Raw genomic sequence first — 22006 nt, forward strand, 5'->3', positions numbered from 1 at the left:
AAAATATACCTGGTTTCAAATCAGTCACTGAAAGTGTTTGAGCTTGTGGAGAAGAAGAGAGGATGATGATCAGATAATCATTTCAGAGAGAATGCTCTGGCAGCAATGTGGATGACGTATCCTAGGGAAGCAAGATGGGAGCAGAATTAGATCCACTGTAATGGTATGGTGACAGGTGATGAGTGTTTGAACTAAAGTAATGAAAATGGGGGTGGAGAGAAAAGATAAAACTTGAAATCAATTTAAGAAATTAAACTGACAAGACTTAGAGATTAATTGGCTATGGGGGTTGGTTATATAGGAGAGAGAGAGTCTAAACTCTTGAGGACTTGGCTTATGTGAGGAATTCTCTTCTATTGCTAGTAACAGACACCAGAAATAACAGTGGCGAAAATAAGTAGTAGTTGATTTCTCTCTCTGATGATCCAAGTATAAAGGTAAGTATTCTAGACCTAGATAATAGCAACACAATGTCAACAGAGACAAAAGCTCCTTCGATCACTTAGCTCCACCATATGTTTTTTTCTTGGACAATTTTTATTGTCCAAGATAGTTGCTGCAGCTCAACTTTTATTTCCATATACAAGGCAGGGAGCCAGAAGTAAAAAAGCCCAGTCTTTTCTCTCTTTTTCCTAAGGTTCACTGAATTCCCACCTAACCTGTTTGCCAGAACTTAGCAACATGGTCACACCTAGCAGCAATGTTGGCTGGGAAATATTTAATTTTTTCTGAATATTTTGCCACTCTAAATGGACTATTTGGAATTGGCTTACTAAACAAGAAGGATAAATGATTATTAGACAGACAATTAACACTTCTTTAACAGATATTTTATGAACAATAAGAAAAAGTATATTAACAGAATATTAGGTGTGAGATAGAGAAGGGGTACATAGGAATTAATGTGTTTACTTTTGGGTCTTTCAGTTTGGTAGAGTGTTGGTCTTATGGAATATACAGTTGATATTGGTTAAATGTACAAACGTCCAATGGATGATTCAGTTAGGTTTAAGAGGAGAAGTAGAGTTACCTGTGTTAACTTTGGAGTTATCTGATGGTATGAAGATGTTGAAGATAAGCCAAATATTCTTGTTCTCATTGATAGCATTAAAGCTGAAGACAGGCATGAATTATAATAATGGAGTCAGATGTAGTTCACCATGGTTAACTAAATTTTTACACCTCTGAGAAGAGTTGTTTCTATTGGATTTGAAGTGTTATAAGCAATACATAGAATATTCTCAAACACAAACCAAGCTGATGTCAGTAATGTCCTCTGCTCTTAGGAAGCTGTCATCACTATGATCTTGGGTGAAACAGGATTCCTCCAGCTCTTTCTTTTCAGGAAGAGTAGAATATTTACACATGCATATATATATGTACATATATATGCATGTGTATGTATAAATACATATATATGTATTATATATAATACATATAAAATCTGTACACATTTTGGAGACACATATGATATTTTGACACATGTATATAATGTGTAATAATCCAATCAGGGTAATTGGGATATCCTTCACCTCATTTATCCTTCATTTGTGTTGGGAACATTACGAATCTTCTAGCTATTTTAAGATACATGATAAATTACTGATAACTACGATATCCATATTTTACTATTGATTACTAGAACTTATTCCTCGTATCTAACTGTATTTTTGTGCCCCTTAACAAACCCCTCTTTGTCCCCTCTTCCCAGCCTCTTGTTACCTTCTGTATTAGTCTGTTCTCATACTGCTATAAAGAAATACCTGAGACTTGGCATTTTATAAAGAAAAGAGGTTTAACTGGCTCATGGTTCCATAGGCTGTACAGGAAAGATGACTGGGGGAGCCTCAGGAAACTTAAAATCATGGCAGAGGGGAAGCAGGCACATCCTACATGGCTGGAGCAGGAGGAAGAGAGAGTAAAGAGGGAAGTGCTACACACTTTGAAAACAACCAGATATCCTGAGAACTCAGTATCACAAGAACAGCAAGGGGGAAATCCAGCCCCATGATCCAATCACCTCCCACCAGGCCCCTCCTCCAATATTGGGGATTGCAATTCGACATGAGATTTGGGCGGGGACACAAATTCAAACCATATCACCCCTATTCTATTCTCTACCTTCATAAGATCTGCTTTTTAGGCCAGGCATTGGGGCTCATGCCTGTAATCCCAGCACTTTGGGAGGTGGAGGCAAGTGGATCACCTGAGGTTAGGAGTTCGAGGCCAGCCTGGCCAACATGGTGAAACCTCATCTCTACTAAAAATACAAAAATGAGCCTGGCATGGTGGTGCGTGCCTGTAATCCCAGCTACTTGGGAGGCTGAGGCAGGAGAATCACTTGAACCTGGGAGGCGGAGGTTGCAGTGAGCCGAGATTGTGCCATTGCACTCCAGCCTGGATGACAAAAGCAAAACTTCGTCTCAAAAAAAAAAAAAAATCCACTTTTTAGCTTCCACATATGAGAAAGAATATTCAGTGTTTGTCTTTCTGTAACTGGTTGATTTTACTTACTATTATGACCTCCAGTTGTGTTCATGTTGCTACAAATTACATATATACAGTTCTATATATACATACAGTTCTGTGTGTGTATATATATATATATATAAATTCAGCTGTGTATATATATATATATATACCACATTTATCTATTCATTTGTTAGTGGACACTTAGTTGATTCTATGTATCCACTATTGTGAATAGCGCTGTGATATGTATGTGAGTGCAGATATCTCTTCAATATACCAATTTCCTCTCTTTTGGACATATGTGGTGTGATTGCTGGGTCATAAGGTAGCCCAATTTTTAGTTTTTTGAGGAACTTCCATACTGTTTTCCATAATGGCTGTACTACTTTAAATTGCCACCAGTAGTTGTAAGAGTGTTCCCTTTCCTCCTCATCCTTGTCACCATTTGTTATTTTTTAATCTTTTTATAATGCCATTCTAACTGAAGTACAATGATATCCCACTGTGGTTTTTATTTGCATTTCCCTGATGATTAGTGATGTTGAGTCTTTTTTTTCTGTATTTGTTGGCCATTTGTATGTCTTCTTTTGAGAAAAGTCAATTCTGATCTTTTCCCCACTTTTTGATCATATTATTATTAATATTTTGCTATTGGGTTGTTTGAATTCCTTATTTATTCTCTGGGTATTAATACCTCATTAGATGAATACTTTGCAAATGTTTTTTCCCATTCTGTGGCTTCTCTCTTCACTTTGTTGATTGTTTCCTTTGTGAGCAGAAGCTTTTTAGCTTGAGGTAATACCATTTTTAAATTTTTGCTTTGGGTGCCTGTGCTTTTGAAGTCTTACCAAAAAAACCTTTGGCCAGATCAATGTTCTGTAGCATTTCTTCAATGTTTTTATTGACTAGTTTTATAGTTTCCAGTCTTATATTTAAGTCTCTAATCCATTTTGAGTTGATTTTTATATATGTTGAAAGATGGAGATATAATTTTATTCTTCTGCATAGGGATACACAGTTTTCCAAGCAGTATTTATTAAAGAGACTTCCTGGCTGGGCGTGGTGGCTCATGCCTGTAATCTCAGCACTTTGGAAAGCCAAGGCGGGCAGATCACCTGAGGTCAGGAGTTCGAGACCATCCTGGACAACATGGTGAAATCTCGTCTCTACTAAAAATACAAAAATTTGTTAGGCATGGTGACAGTAATCCCAGCTACTCAGGAGGCTGAGGCAGGAGAATCACTTGAACCTGGGAGGCAGAGGTTGCAGTTAGCAGAGATCGTGTCATTGCACTCCAGCCTGGGTGACAAGAGTGAAACTCTGTCTCAAAAAAAAAAAAAAAAAAAAAAAAAAGAGAGAGAGAGAGACTTTCTAGTTCTTGGTGCCTTGTCAAAAATGAGGTGGCTGTAAGTGTATGGATTTATTTCTGGGTTCTGGGCTCCATTCCATTTCTCTGTGTGTCTGTTCTTATGCTAGTATCATGTTGTTTTGGTTACTATAGCTTTGTAGTATAATTTCAAATCGGGTAGTGTGATGCCTCCAGCTTTGCTCTTTTTGCTTTGGGTGTTTTTAGCTATTTGGGGTCTTTCCTGCTTATATATGAATTTTAGGATTTTTTTTCCATTTCTGTCAAGAATGACACTGGTATTGATGGGTATTGCATTGAAGCTTCTTTACCTAATATAGACATTTTAACAATATTAATTCTTTCAATTCATAAGCATGAGATATCTTTCCATTTGGGGGAGGTTCTCGTCAATTTATTTTGTTAGTGTTTTATAATCCTCCTTGTAGAGATCTTTCACTTCTTTTGTTAAATTTATTCCTGGGTGTTTTTTGTAGCTATTATAAACAATATTGCTTTCTTGATTTCTTTCTTAGGCTGATCACTGTTAGCATATAAAAATCCTACTGATTTTTCTTGTATGTTGATTTTGCGTCCTGCAACTTTACTGAATTCTTTTATCAGTTCTAAGAGTTTTTTGCTTCAGTCTTTAGGTTTTCATAAACATAAGATCATGTTGTCTACAAACAAGTTTCATTTATTCTCATCCTTTCCAATTTTGATCTCCATTTATTTCTCTTTTGTGATTGCTATGGAAAGAGCTTCCAGTGGTATGTTGAATAGAAGTGGTGAAAGTGTGCATACTGGTTTTTTTTTTTTTTTCCAAGATGAAGTTTCACTGTTGTTGCTCAGGCTGGAGTGCAATGGTGCCACCTTGGCTCACCGTAACCTCCACTTCCCAGGTTCAAGCAGTTCTCCTGCCTCAGCCTCCGGAGTAGCTGTGATTACAGGCATGTGCCACCACACTGGGCTAATTTTGTACTTTTAGTAGAGATGGGTTTCTCCATGTTGGTCAGGGTGGTCTTGTACTCCCAACCTCAGGTAATCTGCCTGCCTTGGCTTCCCAAAGTGCTGGGATTACAGGCATGAGCTACCGCACCCAGCCGAAAGTGTGAATACTTGTTTTGTTCAAGATTTTAGTGGAAAAGTTTTCATTATTTTACCATTCAGAATAACAGCTGTGAGTTTGTCATATATGGCCTTTATCATGTTGAGATATATTCCTTCTGTACCCAATTTGTTAAGAGTTCTTATTACAAAGGGATGTTGAATTTAATTGCACACTGTTTCATCACTGATTAAAATGATCACATTTTTGTCCTTGATTCTGTTGATGTGATATGTCATATTTATTGATTTGCATATGTGGAAACATCTTTGCATCTCTGGGATTAGTTCCACTTGATCATGGTGAATGATCTGTTTATTGTGTTGCTGAATTCAGTTTGCAAGTATTTTGTTGAGGATTTTTACATCTGTGTTTATCACGGATATTGGCCTATAGCTATTTTTCTTTTGTTTTTGCGTCCTTATTTGGTTTTGGTATTGGGGTAATGCTGGCTTCAAATAATTTGTTTGGAAATATTCCCTTCTTTTCAATTTTTTCAAATAGTTTGAGTAAAATTGGTATTAGTTCTTTAAATGTTTAGTAGAATTCAGCAGTCAATCAGTCAGGTCCTGGGCTTTTCTGTGATAGGATATTATTATTATTATTTTTACTGCTTTGATTTCTTTAGTTACCATTGGTCACTTCGAGTTTTTTAATTTCTTCATGGTTCAGTTTTGGCAGGTTTTATGTATCCAATCGTTATCCATTTCTTACATGTTTTCCAATTTGTTGGCATGTAGTTTTTCATAGCAGTTACTAATGATTCTTTGTATTTCCGTGGTATCAGTTGTAATGATTCCTTTTTCACCTCTGATTTTGTTTGTGTTTTTTTCTTAGTGTAGCTAAAGATTTGTCATTTCTATTTACCTTTTCAAAAAATTCAACTTTTTGTTTTGTTGATCTTTTGTAGTTTTTCCTCTCATTTCCAGTTATTTCTGTTTTGATATTTATCATTTCTTTCTAGTTATTTGGGTTTTTCTTGTTTTTCTAGTTCCTTGAGGTTCATCATTAGGTTATTTAAGTTTTTCTGTTTTTGGATGTAGACAGTTATTGCTATAAAACTTCCCTTTTAGTACAGCTTTTGCTGGATCCCACATATTCTGTATGTTGGGTTGCCATTTTCATTTGTTTCAAGAAATGTTAAAGTTTTCTTCTTAATTTCTTAGTTGACCTATTGGTCATTCGGAAGTATGTTGTTTAGCTTCCTTGTATTTGAACGGCCAGCTTAATTTTGAAAAGTTGTGTTGGTTCTCTTGGTTAATGAGAAACAAGAATCGTAGCTACATTTTTTTTAATGTAAATAAATATCGTTAAGCACCTACTACCAAGGAAAATAGAAGAAAAGGAAAATTTAAAAAATCATTACTTATAAGTATGACTCAACTCATGCTCTTTAATCAATCTTCATGGAAATGAAAATAAGTAGCCTACTTACCCACATTCTTGTCCTAAACTCTCCTAGTTATAGGCATGTACGAAAAAGCTGAGTTAAGTTGCTGGCATGTATGGAAATTCCCATTATTTTAAAAAATGTTCTACTACTTCAAAGAGCCAAAAATCTCTTTTTTCTAAGTTACATATGGGTAATAAATAAAAATATATTATATATCATATTTATATCTTGTGAATGAGTAGCCTTGCAATTATAGAGATGATTTTTCAATGGAGACAATAAGAGAGGAGGATATGAACAGGTTCAGTTGAGTGTGTTCCCTATAGAATATCAAACTTTTTTTATTATTTAAAAAATTTACGGCCGGGCGCAGGGGCTCACGCTTGTAATCCCAGCACTTTGGGAGGCCAAGGCGGGTGGATCACGAGGTCAGGAGATCGAGACCATCCTGGCTAATGCGGTGAAACCCCGTCTCTACTAAAAATACAAAAAAATCAGCCGGGCGTGTTGGCGGGAGCCTGTAGTCCCAGCTACTTGGGAGGCTGAGGCAGGAGAATGGCGTGAACCCGGAAGGCGGAGCTTGCAATGAGCCGAGATCGCGCCACTGCACTCCAGCCTGGGCGACAGAGTGAGACTGCGTCTCAAAAAAAAAAAAAAAAAAAAAAAAATTTATAACAAAAGAATGCTTTCATGTGTTACACGACAATTTTAAAAAAGCTACTCCAATAAGCAGAACACAATTTTGTGCTCCTTGTAAGCTAACTTTTAAGTGCTTTCATTGTACATTGTTTATTTTTTATAAATACTCTGTTGTAAGGTCTTGGATATAAAGGTAAAAATTTGTTTAGGTTGGTTCCTAGATTAAAATACTTGTTAAGAAGGTTTGGGTTTATCTTCAATCTGGATTACTAACGCATCCAAATTCCAGTTTATTGGTTTATAAAATTTTTGAACTGGAAAGAACTTTAATTTACACATTTTTTCTCCTGGGAAATATTACTCTCTGCATCAAAATAAAAAGTCGCAAGTTCATGAGTTACTAATGCTAGAACTAGTGCCAATTTGTAGGCATCATTTATTAATAACTAGTCTCTGTGAATGAGTTATTAAAATAACATAAAAGTTGCGCAGCCCTAACATGTAAACTCAAAATATGAAATGCTCCAAAATCTGAAACTTTTTGAGCACCAAACTAACATTACAAGTGGAAAATTCTGTACTTGACCTCACGTGATGGGTGCACAATATTATTAACAACATTCTATAGAATTACCCTGAAGCTACGTGTATAATGTGTGTCTGAAACTCGAATTTTATGTTTAGACTTGGGCCCCATCCCGAAGATGTCTCATTACCTATATGTAAATAGTCCAAAATACAAAAAAAAATCTGAAATCTGAAACATTTCTGGTCCCAAGCCTTTTGGATGGGGATAGTCAACCAGTATGTATTTATGCATGTGTATGCACACGTGCGCATGTGTCTAAATTCCATAACTTGGGTATTGAAAATAAAATATTTTCCAGTTATGGTAGATAAGATTACTCCTTTTGCTTTTTTTTAATTTCATTTACCATTGGCTTTAATAATATTGAACAATCTGGCCACCCTTGACAATATCAGTGTAATCCTCTCATACTATTAACTGAGTTTCACCATTATTTTTAATAGTATAATCTCTTTGGTAACATCATACTCTAAGCTTTAACTATGTAGTATTTAAGGAATGAAATAGAATCCTTCTGTAAAATCCCTGATATAATTTGTTAAAGCTCTGTGCTTTAATCACTATATAATTTCCTCTCTAAGTAAATTCTCTCTAATCCTCAGGACCACATTCCTAAATCCTAAAGACTGTGCCTTTTCAAAAGGGACATTCTACTTATTATTGGATAGCTTTTCAAGAGCTGCACCTCAAATAGATAATCAGGCTAGATAAAATAGAAAAGGTTAAGAGAAAAAATATTTTATTGTGCTCATCAGCTATGAGCCAATATGTTTCTTTTTTTTAAACAAAATTTTGGTTGGAAATTTATTCGCATTAACATGGTTATCTTCATATAATTTAACAAAATAAGCCTAAATGACAATAAATTAGACTCAAAGTCCAACACCATTTTAAACTTCAATTGAGTGAAGTGCTTAGTTTAATGTTGTTGGTTAATTCCATGCTAATACTTTGCTTTCAAACCTTGAAATTAAAATTGTATGTATCACATATTTTATTGCTTTGTTGTCATAGTGAGAAAAATGAAATATTAAAAAATTAATATGTTTAGTTAATTAGAAGACTTAACTAATTAATTAACAAGTTAAGACTTAACTAATTAATTAACTAGTTAAGACTTAACTAATTAATGATTTCCTGGTGTCACTATGCTATAGTTTTATGTAGTAAGTCTCATTGTATTAACACTGCATATCTGTGGGTGAGGAAGGATACAAGGAAAGCATAATTAAACTTTCTTTTCACTTGTATAAGCTTGTTTATTAAAAAGTAAATTCTTACGTAATTTTTTTCTTTTACATTTGTGCATCTGATCTAAAATCAAAGGTAGAAAACATTTCAATAAAATGTCTTGGTCATTGAGTTTGAATACATTGACATATACAACTGCAAATGAAATGATGGCATATGCTTTATAAATCTGTAGTGCCACAATAATCACATACTTAGCTTAAAGGCAGAATGTCTCCCTATCTTCTGCTGAGTTTTATCCTAATGAATGTTCCTTTAGTTTGCAATATTCATGAGACTGGTTGACCTATTTCTGCATTATTTTTATATCTAATAAAGATTCATCACCCTTTAGGTAGTTTTACCAATTGTAGTAATATTTCAGGCTTGTTCTGAAGTTGACATTTGAAAAGTAACAGTGAGAAGTTTTATTTTAAATGTAATGCTTTGTCGCATGAAAAAGATTCAAGCAGAAAGTAGCTGATCACATATAAAAATATGTTATACTACAGATGAGGAAAAACTCTTATGACATAAATGCAAGAATTTTACACCATATATATTATACCATATAGATGTATAAATATATAATACCATATATGTATATATATTTATGTATATGTATATATGTATATATATTTATACATATATATGTATAAATATTTATACATATATACGTATATATTTATACATATATACGTATATATGTATATATTTATACATATATATGTATATATATTTATACATATATATGTATATATGTAATTATATATTTATACATATATATGTATATATATTTATACATATATATGTATATATATACATATATATGTATATATACTATAAAGACTAATTTGCTAAATAAAAAACAGCAGATGAAAAACTGTCAGATGAGGACAGAGCTTGGATTTTACTGCAGCGTTTTTTAAAATACTGCATCTGTTACTATAATTGGAAATGAGAACTATCAGGATTCAGAATTTTCCTCCTGATGGATGACTTTTTGACATCCATATTCATTCTACCTGAACTACAGACTTTTGCTCCTGTTTCTACAATCTAAAAAATGGCTTTCCAACAATTCTTTCTATCAAAGACAGTGCTTCAAATATTTTGAGTAAAAAATTAGCACCATATCTTGTTTTTATTTCATTTGGAATATGAAGTATCATTTTTGGAGTCATTTAGGGTTCCAGGATATTTAACATCTTTTCAGAGACTCCCAGTTATTTTCAATCTATTACTCCTACGATTATGTAGCCTCCTTATTATAAGATCATCACAAAGGAAAACAAATTTTATCAGAATGTACAGACTTAAAAATAGAACATTCTGTATTGAATAAATAAAAATGTGTCAGGTTATTTTTCATGCATATGGAATACACACTTTAAGACTTTAAAAATAAAATCATAGACATGAGGTGATAAATTCAGTTTTCTTTCTCTGTCAAATCTTTTGGTGATTATGTAATTGAGCAGTTCTCGTATTATTATAATGCACACCTAAAATATTCTTTGAAAAAATACTGTACAGTAGGCATTCAGTGAGATCATGTGATAATTTTCAGAGAGATTATTAGAAGAACAAAAGGAAGTTCGAAACCAGCCTGACCAACATGGAGAAACCCCGTCTCTACTAAAAATACAAAAAATCAGCTGGGCGTGGCGGCACATGCCTGTAATCCCAGCTACTCTGGAGGCTGAGGGAGGAGAATTGCTTGAATCCGGGAAGCGGAGTTTGTGGTGAGCCAAGATTGCGCCGTTGCACTCCAACCTGGATGACAAGAGGGAAACTCCGTCTCAAAAAAAAAAAAAAAAAAAAAGCAAAAGGAGCCAAGAAAACACAATGAAAGGATAATTTCTTCAATAAATGTGCTTGGGAAAACTGGATATTCACATGCAGAAGAATGAAATTGGAACTCACACACCACATGCAAAAATTAACTCAAAATGAATTAATAACGTAAACATATGGCCTGAAACTATAAAAGTACTAGAAAAAATATAAGAAGAAAGCTACATGACATTGGTCTGGATTATGATTTCTTGAATAGGTCATAGGATTATGATTTCTTGAATCTAATTTAAAAATGGGGAAAAGACCTGAACAGACATTTTTCAAAAGAAGACGTAGGAATGACCAGCAGATATATGAAAAAATGCTCAAAATCTTTAATCAACATGGAAATGCAAAGTAAAATCCAAGTGAGATATCCCCTCATGTCTGTTAGAATGGCTATAATTAAAAAAAATGAAAGATGACAAGTATTGGCTAGCATGTCAAGAAAAAGGAACCCTGGTAAACTGTTTATGGGAAAGTTAATACAGCCATTATGGAAAACAGTATAGAGGCTCCTCAAAAGACTAAAAAGATAGAATTACCACATAATCTTGAAATTTCATTTCTAGGTATATATCCAAAGAAATTCAAATCACTATGTTGAAGAGATATCTAAGCTCTCATGTTTATTTCAGCATCATCCACAGGAGCCAAGATACGGAAGTAACCTAAGTTTCTGTCCATAAATGAATAAAGAAAATGTGATATATATCTATATATATATCATTATATATATATCATTATATATATTCCTATATATATATAAGGAGTACTATATAATCTTTAAAAAGAGGAAAAGTCTGTCATTTGAGACAACGTGGATGAACCTGGAGGACATTATTCTAAGTAAAATAAGCCAGGCTCAGAAAGACATATACTACATAATTTCACTTATATTTGGAATCTATAAAAGTCTATCTCATAGAAACAGGGAGTAGAATGATGATTACCTGAGGCCTGGGGCATGAGGAAAGGTGTGAAATTGGTCAAAGGGTACACATTTTTAGTTAGGAGGAGTAAGTTTTAGTGATATATTATGCAGAATGGTGAACATAGTTAATAATGCATTATATATTCCAAAGTTGCTAACAGAATAGATTTTAAACATTGTCACTATAAAAAATTGATAAGGTGGTGAGATAATGGATATGTTAATTTGCTTAATTTAACGTTTCTATAATGTATACATATATCTAAACATCACATTATACTCTGTAAACATATACAATTATTTGTCAATTAATTATGAAAAGAAAGTAGGAAAAAAGACTGAACCTATTGTCATATTCAACTGCTCTGAACTTGCTGTTCAAGGATTGATAGTCTCTGTAGATTTGAGTTCAGTGTATCTTGTATGGCACTTGGTTACCAGGTTGTTAAAAGAAAAGTAGGTTTGGACCAAATCTGCCAAATGAAGCAACATTTATTAATAAGAAGACAACAATAAAAACAATCATACAACATGCTCTTGCAAATTTGGGGATGAATGCAGACTAACTAGGACCTTGACTGCTAAATCACTCAAAGGTAAATGCAAACATACCTGACAGTAGAATCAGCTTAGTTTGTAGTTAGCTTTAATTACACAGTCCTCCTTGTGAGACAGACCTTGGACCATGTAGAGTTCTAGATGTCATGTGTTGCTCCAAGGATGTTCAGCTCCTGTGAATACTGGTTATTTGCATATTGTTCATGCCAGAGATGTGTTGACCGTGCAATCATTTTATATATCTTAAGTGCTTCAAAAATTCACCAAATAAATTCCAACGATTCTTATGTTAATGATCCCTCTGGTGTATATTTAAATAATGTTATTTGAAAACCTTTGCTGATTAAGGAACTTAGTTGCTTCAGTGGCTGACTACCTGTGCCTGGGATGTGGACTAATGTTAACTAACCTATACATGCATTCCACATTTTTGCCACAGCATTTTGATATACATTACCAATATAATATTAATATAATATATTGCATAATATAATATATAAATATATATTACATATGATATAATAAGTATAATATTTAACCATGTAATGGTTAAATAATACAAATACAAAGAAGGAAAACTTATTCTGAGGATCAAATGAAATAAATCCAAAGGGAGAAAATTAATAATATATAATCCATAATATCAGATTCAAGGGGAAATGAAATCTATCAAGGAGAATACTCTGGGATCAACAAATAGTGCCTCAATTGAAAAACCAAATTATCAAATTTAAATGTAAAATAGGAAACTTTAAGATATGATAAGATACAATGGAAAATTAACCAATGAATTAGAAGAGCTTTTGGAGGAAATCTGCCAGAGTAGAGCAGAAAAAGGTGAGGAAATAAATAAAAGGAAAAACATCGACATGGGAAATCCAATAGACATGTAATATGAAATTCAGAAAATAAGAACAAAGTAAGTTTCCAATATTTTAGGCATCTAAAATTACCAACTGAATATTTATTCAACAATTGTCCATGTTTGTAATTAAACTCAAGAAATTTAATTTTAATGCAGAATTTGAATAATGATTGTCACTCTAGATATGCCCTGTCCAATATGGTGGCCACAAGCCCCAATTGGCTAGCGAGCTCTTGAAATGTGTCTAGTTCAAACTGAGATGTGCTGTAAGTATAAAATTCATGCTAGATTTTGAAGACTAAGTAAGAAACTAAGAATATGAAATATAAGCTAAGAATTTTAAACACTTTTTACATGTTGAAATTATTAAATTTTTGATGAGTTAAATAAAATAAATTATTAACATTTATTTACCTGTTTCTTTTTAGTTTTTCCATGTATCTGTCAGAAAATGCTTTTATTAGGTAGTGCTATCTAGACAATACTAACTTGACAGGGCAATATTTTGTCACTGTTATTTACTTTCAAAGTTTTGGGGCATATTCTTGGAAAAACTTTAGGAGCAAATTCTTTTTAAATATGGACTTGATCTTAGAAAACAGTCAAAAGTCATTTTCCACTAAGCCTATTAAGTGAGGTGGTAATAACATTGGATACACCTACAGGGTCAAAAATCAAGGTTAGACAACTAAATATTGAGTCTTCTAATTTTGGCTGACTCATAAACTGGATTATAGCACATCTCCTCGGACCTCAATTTCCTTTTATATAAAATGAGAGTTTTCTACTAACCTATTTTGAAAGCTCCTTTGGCAATCTTAATACTTTGTGAATAATTTCATATTAACCTTAATGGTTTAAGATCTCAAAATTGGTTTTATAATCCTCTCAAAGACCTAAAGAATTATTTTAGACATGTTCAAAGATAATGATGGCCCTGTTCTCTGCTGAGAATATAGAATTTAACCATCATAAGACAAAAAAAAAAATCAATGCAAACATTTCCTATTTTTTCTTCCTCATGTATGTTTGATTTTTACTAGTTTCTCTCTTTGTAAATGAAATAAATGAATCTGTTAAAATATTTATACTCAAATATATTTATCCATTTCCATTAGATTTCACAAAATAGCTCCTAAGCCTTTCCTTTTATTTCTTCAAATATTTTGATTTAAAAAAATGTTTTCTTAGTATTTGATATATTGAGCTTTTATAGCTGTACTTCATATTTGCCTTAAATTTTGACGACTGTTCCTTTGATGACTTTATAAGCATTTCAAGAAGAAATAAAATTAATAAAAACAATTTTAATTGGTGTTTAGAAAAATGTCTTTGAAAGTTAGGTGAATGGATTTATAAAAATAGTAAATCCTTTGGTGTTCTTCCATGTGGTGCTGGCAAAATTTGTAAGAGAAACTACATAGAATCATTTCATTGTAAATATATGTTATGTCTCTGAGCAAGAATGTGCTTTCTAATGAAACATTGAATATGTATAAGTTGTTCTACTCAAATAACCTAACGACAAACATACATATTTTAATCACACCCTCAAATCTTGTAAAGCTTTTTCTCCTTTTGCAATGAAGTCCACCCCAATCACATCTTTTCAGGGGCTGTAGAGAAAATGCTGATTTCATCAAATACTCTGTGTGTGGTTCAAGTGTTTTTTGGCTGGTACAAGGTGTTTTCATATGGCTTCCAATCAATATAAAAATACATTTAAAAATAAGAATAAAAATTACCAAAGCCATTTGTTAACGAATTAATGTATTTAATTAACATTAAGTATTAATTGTGGACACAGCAATAGGTATTGGCCTGAACTGGGGTTCCCTAATCTTGAAGACCAATTTCAGTTATATTTTTACGTGATGATTAAGAAACTTGAGCAAACAATTTTTGGTACAGTAGGGAGTCACAAAACATTTGTGGAATTAACCATTAAACTATGTTGTCATAATAAAAATAACCTTTATTAAGTACCTGTTCTGTGCTGGACACTGTGAAAGAATTTGATGTAATTTAATACTCAACAATTCTGTAAGATAGACATTGCTCCAATTTGATGTATGAAAAAAGAAGGCTCAGAGAGTTTGGGTAACTGACCTATGGACACATAGCTAGTAAATGACAAAATGACAATGCTACGATTTAGACCAAGATCCAAAGAACTACAGTGACCATGACCCGAGACCCCCTAATAATGTTACCTTTATAACAGGGTGTTCTGAACCTGTGGTTATATCTCAAGCTTCATCCAGATATGGTCTAGCTGGCTGTAGATCATACTCTCAAGCAGGAAGTGGCAGAGAACAAAATGTGATCACCAAAATGCGGCAGGCAGTGAGTGAAGGGTTAATTCACAGCAAGTTCAGGACCCCATGCAGAGTAAGTTACCTATGTTAATGATCATAAAATGATGAAACTGATTTTAATATACAGCTTACAGAATTTAACATGCAGAAAGTCATGTAGGCAAATCATTTATAGAAATCACTCTTCTGTTGGATGTCTAAATTTAGTGGAATTTTTTTGCATACATTTCACTTTGGGATGGGGTACAATATTTTTGTCATTTTTAAAATTTAGAACTTAATTTAAGCATATAAAGTGTACTTTTAATTCAAATTTCTTTATCCAATGAAGGAAACATGTATATAAAATGGCCCATACACAGAAAAAAAAAAAAGACAAAGAAGAAGATGAAAAATGAGCTTAGATGGTTTAGCAAATACGTAGATATCATTACCTTGAGTCAGTGCTTCCACACCAGGATGATTACCATCCCTCCTCCCACCCATAATCAAACACACAGACACACACACACACACACACACACACACACACACACACGAGGCATTTGGCAATGCCAGGAGAAATTTTTGGTTGTCACAAATGAGGAGTGTGCCACTGGCACACTCTAAACACCCCATAATGCACAGGACAGCCTGAGAATGTTAATCATGCCAAGGTTGAGAAATTGTGCCCTAAATAAGTTCTTGCCTATTTCAGGATACTTCTCTTTAGAATTTTTTTCCTTATGGGCCATTACTCTAACTTTTAGAAAGACTGTTGAAAGTTAGTACCTTAATGATAAATCATGATATAACAACTTGTTTCAAATATTTTGATTGGTGTAGGGACAAAATCATTATTCTGTTGCTTGGTCACTGAGGTAACGAGGTGGTTTTTGCTTTCTAATAGTAGCATTATGGTGACAAACCTTTAAACTATATTCCTTACCATATTTACTTGAAATCAGATTTTGAGGACAAGTCAAATAAAATTCAAATGAGAGAAAATTACAAGTTATTAATTGTCAAGAAAAACTTACAAAAAATCTTAAATGCTATCTATAATGTATATATATTGAATATATAATGCATGTATATTGAAATATATACCCATTTATAGATTACATATGTTAAATAATGAGGAGGCCATTAGCCTGAGGCTGGCCCCATACTTTGAGAATGAAGTATGAGATGGAAAAATTGAAGAGTGCACAGGCCATGAAATGAGACAGGCTGTTTCAATCTGCTGTGCATTAGTTATGTGAACTGTAGACAAGTTTTATATATTTCCTAAACCCAATTTTCTCATCACAAGATAAGGTAATGGTAACTACTTCACAGCATTTACATAGATTAAATTAAATAATACAAACAATTTGTTTGGGAACTACTGTGTCAGGCAGACATCCATCATTCACTATTGTATATTAGAGTCATTATTATCATCCTCATAAAGCCATATATCAGGATTAATCATGCTATCATGTCCTTGGAAAAATAAAGAGGAAGTATATGCTATTAGTTTTCTACTGCTGCCTGCAGTAGAAAATATATCGCAAATTTGGTGGCTTAAAACCACCCAAATTTGTTATCTTACAGTTCTGTAGCTTAGAAATCCTAAAATCAAAGTTCCAGCAGAGCTGCCTTTCTTTCTAGGGGCTCTCAGGGAGATTTTGGGTTGTTTTGTCTAGTTTCTAGAGGCTGCCTGCATTCCTCAGTTTGTGGCCCTCTCTTGTCTTCACAGCTAGCAACAGTGGGCTGAGTTCTTCCCACATTTCATCACTCCGACTTCATTTCCACGATCACATATATTTTCTTGACTCTATTCTGTTCCTTTCTCTACTTTTAAGGCCCTTTGTGATGACACTGGACTCACATGGGTAATCCAGTATCCATTTCAAAATTCTTCAACCCATCTGCAAAGTCCCTTTTGACATGGAAAGTAATGTGTTCAAAGATTCTGAGGATATGAATGTGGACATCTTTGGAGGGTCCTTATTGTATCTAACGTGTGTGTGTGTGTGTGTGTGTGTACACTAAATAAAATCAGTAGCCTTCACTGTTTGTCTTATATATATAGAATGTATAAGCCTTACAAATTTGGTTATTTGAGAAACAGGTTGAGATTCTGAGATTTAAAGGAGGGGAGCATTTCTAGGATGAACACCAGTCAGGCAGTAAAGGACACAGGATACAGGAGGTATTGAATTTTGATGCAGTTACAACAAAGGCCTTGCCAATATCATGGGGAGCTCTGAAGCTGGCATGGATTTTTGGACTTGTCCCACTCTAAGTCAAAAAGCTTTGGCCCTGATACTCCTTTATCAACCAGTCGTTAGACAAGGGGTGTGGCCCAAAGGGGTGTGGTTATGGATGACACAATTCCAGCACAGGGTCTCAGCTGAGAGCCCTTAGTGACCAACATTCCCAACACCTGGAGAAACGAGTATGTTTTCATCCTGAAAAGAGGCAACGCATTATCCAAAACATAAACTAAGCCAATTCAGTAGCAATATCTTGTGCCAAATTTTATGCCATTATTCTTTATTGTAGGAAAATTCAGGGTAAAAATCTTTGGTAAAATATAGTCATCAAAAAGCAGAAGGACCTAGGAGCCACGATTTGAATTCAGTTTCTTGTTTTCCCCTGGCATACTTTGTTATAGGCACATCATTTGTAATTTTTCCTCTTTTCTTTTCCTAGTTGCAAAGTGGCACTTGAAATAAAATGATTTCTCTTACCACTGCTAATATGTTTAATTAGATAAAATTTTCAATGATGGGTAGACACTTTGCCAATGCAATAATAACAGCAACAAATACCACTTTCAACACTGCAATTACTCATCCACATTGTGAAAATGTTATCTTCTTCCTTCTAGGATAGCAATTTAGATTAAAAAGGGAAAATATTTTTAATGCTGTATTACCTTGGATTCCTTATTTAATTATACCAAATGTTCCCTTTCTCTAAGAAATATATGACAATTTTTTGTCCTACATACAGTAGGCAGGGGGAAAATTATCTGGACTTTCTTTGCCTAGCTATTATCTGTGTGAAAAATTTCAGCAAAGAGCAGGAAGAAAATAGAAATAAAAAGGGTTAGAAAATTGACATCCATTGTGACTCACTAAAAAAATGAAAAAAATGATGCTAATAGTTTTATCACCTGGAAATCTGAGAAAAATTGGTTTGGGGCCAAATTCTTCGGAAGTATAACTGTACCAGAAGTTCTGGAGCCCCTGACGCAGTTCAACATCACATTGCTCTCCTCCATCTAGAGAAAGTAACCAGGTAGAAAATGCATTAAGGAAACTATGTCAGGAAAACAAATTAGAGCTCTGATGTTTAACTTTTACAAAGAAGTTAAACATTCTTGACTTCTTAGGTAAGCAATGACTAACTGATGAAAAATCTTTTTGTGTGAGTGCTGACAAGTTAAGAATCCCTTCTTTTCCTTCACTATTTGCAAAGAAAAGGAAATATACATATATATTGATTAAGTTATTTTTATTCTCTCATAGACAAGTATTGTGCTAAAAATCCCAGCAAGTCAACATTACGACAAAGGCATATATATATATATATATCAGTAGTATCAAAGTATTATGGACCGAATGGCTTAGAACCACAGATATGTGCTGTCTCACAGTTCTAGTGGCTAGAAGTCTGAAATCAAGGTATTGACTGGGTGCTTTCCTTCCGATGACTTTGAGAGAGAATCTGTTCCATGCCTTGCTCCTAGCTTCTGGGGACAGCCAACAAGCCTTGGTATATAGATGCATCTCTTGAATCTCTGTTTTCACATGGTGCAATCCCCATGAAGCTCTGTGTTTACATTTCCCTCTTCTTATGAGGACACCAGTCATATATATTAGGGTACATCCCAATGATCTTATCTTAACTTGATTGCATCTGCAAAGACCCTCTTTTAAAATAAAGTGTAATTCACCAGTACCAGGGGTTAGGGCTTCAATATATCTTTTTTGGAAACACAAGTCAATCTTCAACAAAAGGGAAGGCTTGACCAGAAGAGTTAAACACACAGAGAAGACTAGAGATTTCAGATACAGAAAGGGAATGAGAATGCTCTAGTTACAGCCTTGCTCCTAATATGTGGTTTGCAGAACAGAAGCATGGGTGTCACTGAGAAATTATTAAAAATTCAGAATCTCAGGCTTCACTTCAGTCCTATTGAAAATAAGCATATGATTTAAACAAAAATATCCTATTTATTCAAATGCACACATTTGGATTGAGAAGCATTGCCCTAAGGCCCACAATCTGGAATTTTTTACTAGATAGTTAGGCTATCAACTTTTGCCAAGAGCACATCATTTATGTTTCTTCCTGTTTTATTTCTAGCTGTAAAATGATATTTGAAATTAAAATGATGTCTCTTACCAGTGATAATAAGCCCAACTGGGTAAAATATTTAATTACAGAGAGACATTTTACGAAAACAATAGAAACAAATATCACTTTCAACACTGCATAAACATAAAACCACATATAATAGCTCACAGTATAAGTTTACTCCTCACTCACATAAAGTTTAAAGCAGCTGTTCTTGATCTCAGAGTAATTTTTCTGTAAGTGATGATTCAGAGACCCAGAATCCTTAAATCTTGGGCTCCACCATCTTTATAGTGTGGTTTCCACATTCACTCTTTTCATCTGCTATGAGCCTGTAGATGGGGCAAAATAAAGATGGATGTGAGATTGATTTTATGGCTTAGAGTGGTGCACATCACCTCAACTTCCATTCCATTGACTAGAATCCCGTCACATGCCATGTCTTCCAGTGAGAGAAACCAGGAAATGTAAACTAGCTGTGTGCTTAGGAATAAGAGGAAATGTCCAACAAACCAACTCTACCTGAAATGTCTATGTATGAGGCAGTAGATTATCTCTGGCACCAATTTCTGAGATCTTTTGCCACAAATTTTTAATCATGAATATATTAATTGCTCATTCTGTAAGGGAAGTGCATAACCGCATTCAAATTTAATGTACTACAGACTTCAGTTTGTTACAGGGTGTGGGAAATCATTAAAAGGAGGAAATTAAAAGATGAAAATAAACCTTAAAGCCTGACTTTTCATACATTTGTTCTTCAATTTAACGAACATTTATTGGTTTTCTCCCTTGTGCCTAGCACTAAGAATAAAGTATAAATAGGACACAGTTTCTGAATTCAAGAACTCTTAAAGTCCAAAAAAAGTGACTCTCAACTTTGGTCTCACATTGGGATCTTCCTGGTAGTAAAAAAAAAAAAATTATCTTTTTTTTTTCGATGACCAGCTTCCACTCTAGTACAATTGAATCAGAACCTCACGGGGAGAAAACAGGCACTGGTATTTTTTAAAAGCTTCTCAAGTAAGTCTAACGTATTAACAAGGCTGAGAAACCCTGAGTTATTTGGATTCGCAGTCAATGGCCTTGCAGTTTTTACCTATGACCTACGGGAAGAAAATCACAAAATCACATTTACCAGTTTTTTTTTTTAATTCATAATCATGCAACTTCAACAGCATTCTTTCTTTCTTTTTTTTTTTTTTTTTTTGACAGAGTCTTGCTGTCACCCAGGCTGGAGTGCAGTGGTGCGATCTCGGCTCACTGCAACCTCTGCCTCCCGGGTTCAAGCAATTCTCCTACCTCAGCCTCCCTCAAGAGCATTCTTTATGGTGTCCAGAAATCACAGTCCATTCTTCTAACTATACTCCTAAAACACCTCCTTTCTCATATCTTCTCCTCTTTCATTTCCTCCCTCACCTTATGTTGAACTGGAAGACTTACTTTCTACTTCACTGAGAAAATACAAGCAATCGGAAGTAAACCTCTGCAGACTCATACCACCACATTGAACCATCTAGCAGCCTCTCTACCCATGTACTATGGTATAAAATACAAATTTTGTCACAAAACCTACTTTGAGTATTTCAAGAAGAAAATAATTCAATATAGGGATTTAAAAGGACTAGAAGAGTGAAGTTTAGGGAAACTTCTCTTAGAACCAAAGAAATCAGGGAGTAGAAGAAATACAGGAAACTTCCATATAAGACCTCAGGGTCTTGCAATGCTAAAGTGAGTAACTTGCAGGAAAATGCTTGAAGCTTATGACAAACCTTATATATGGGAAGCCCTCATGCCTATCCACTATAGTCAGAGCTTTAATGGCTGTTCTGTCTCTCTACTTCAAAATGTTATACAAATGTCACTCATTGGTAGAAGAATATTGTCATGGAAGCTTGAGAAACATAATACTCAGCATTACATTTATGCAATATAGTGCAAAGCATAAAAAGGATTGTAAATGCTGTTGGAATGCCAAAACACTCTCTACTACATCTGTTTTTCTAACTATTATTCAAGAACAGAGAGTCTATAAATGAACAATCTATTCTGCTGTGTAATTCAATAGCACTCCTTCTCCAACTCAAGAAAAAAAATCTTCACAAATTCTCTCTCCTGTCTCCTATTTCAACAGTCCTTTTACTCACTATGGAATCACTCTATGAGCATACAAACATAATGGCAATTTTTTTTTTTCAGATGGAGTCTTGCTCTGTCACCCAAGCTGGAGTGCAGTGGTGCGATCTCAGCTCACTGCAACCTCTGCCTCCCGGGTTCAAACAATTCTCCTGCCTCAGCCTCCTGAGTAGCTGGGATTACAGGTGCATGCCACCATGCCCAGCTACTTTTTTTTTTTTTTTTTTTTTTTTTTTTTTTTACTA

The 22006-nt window shown here is 34.1% G+C and overlaps 1 long non-coding RNA gene across 1 annotated transcript; it reads right to left on the bottom strand.

Moving 5' to 3' along the window:
• Positions 1 to 36: 36 nt before the first annotated feature.
• LOC105379720 (uncharacterized) lies at positions 37 to 18537 on the bottom strand. The gene is made up of 6 exons (XR_007060246.1): positions 18439 to 18537; positions 15186 to 15372; positions 12162 to 12280; positions 11894 to 12022; positions 1031 to 1113; positions 37 to 121 (listed from the first exon to the last, which is right to left on the bottom strand). It is a non-coding gene; the product is annotated as an uncharacterized LOC105379720 (long non-coding RNA).
• Between the last annotated feature and the right edge of the window lie 3469 nt (positions 18538 to 22006).

The sequence above is a fragment of the Homo sapiens genome, chromosome 7, assembly GCF_000001405.40.
Source record: "Homo sapiens chromosome 7, GRCh38.p14 Primary Assembly".
In the NCBI taxonomy this organism is placed as follows: Eukaryota; Metazoa; Chordata; class Mammalia; order Primates; family Hominidae; genus Homo; species Homo sapiens.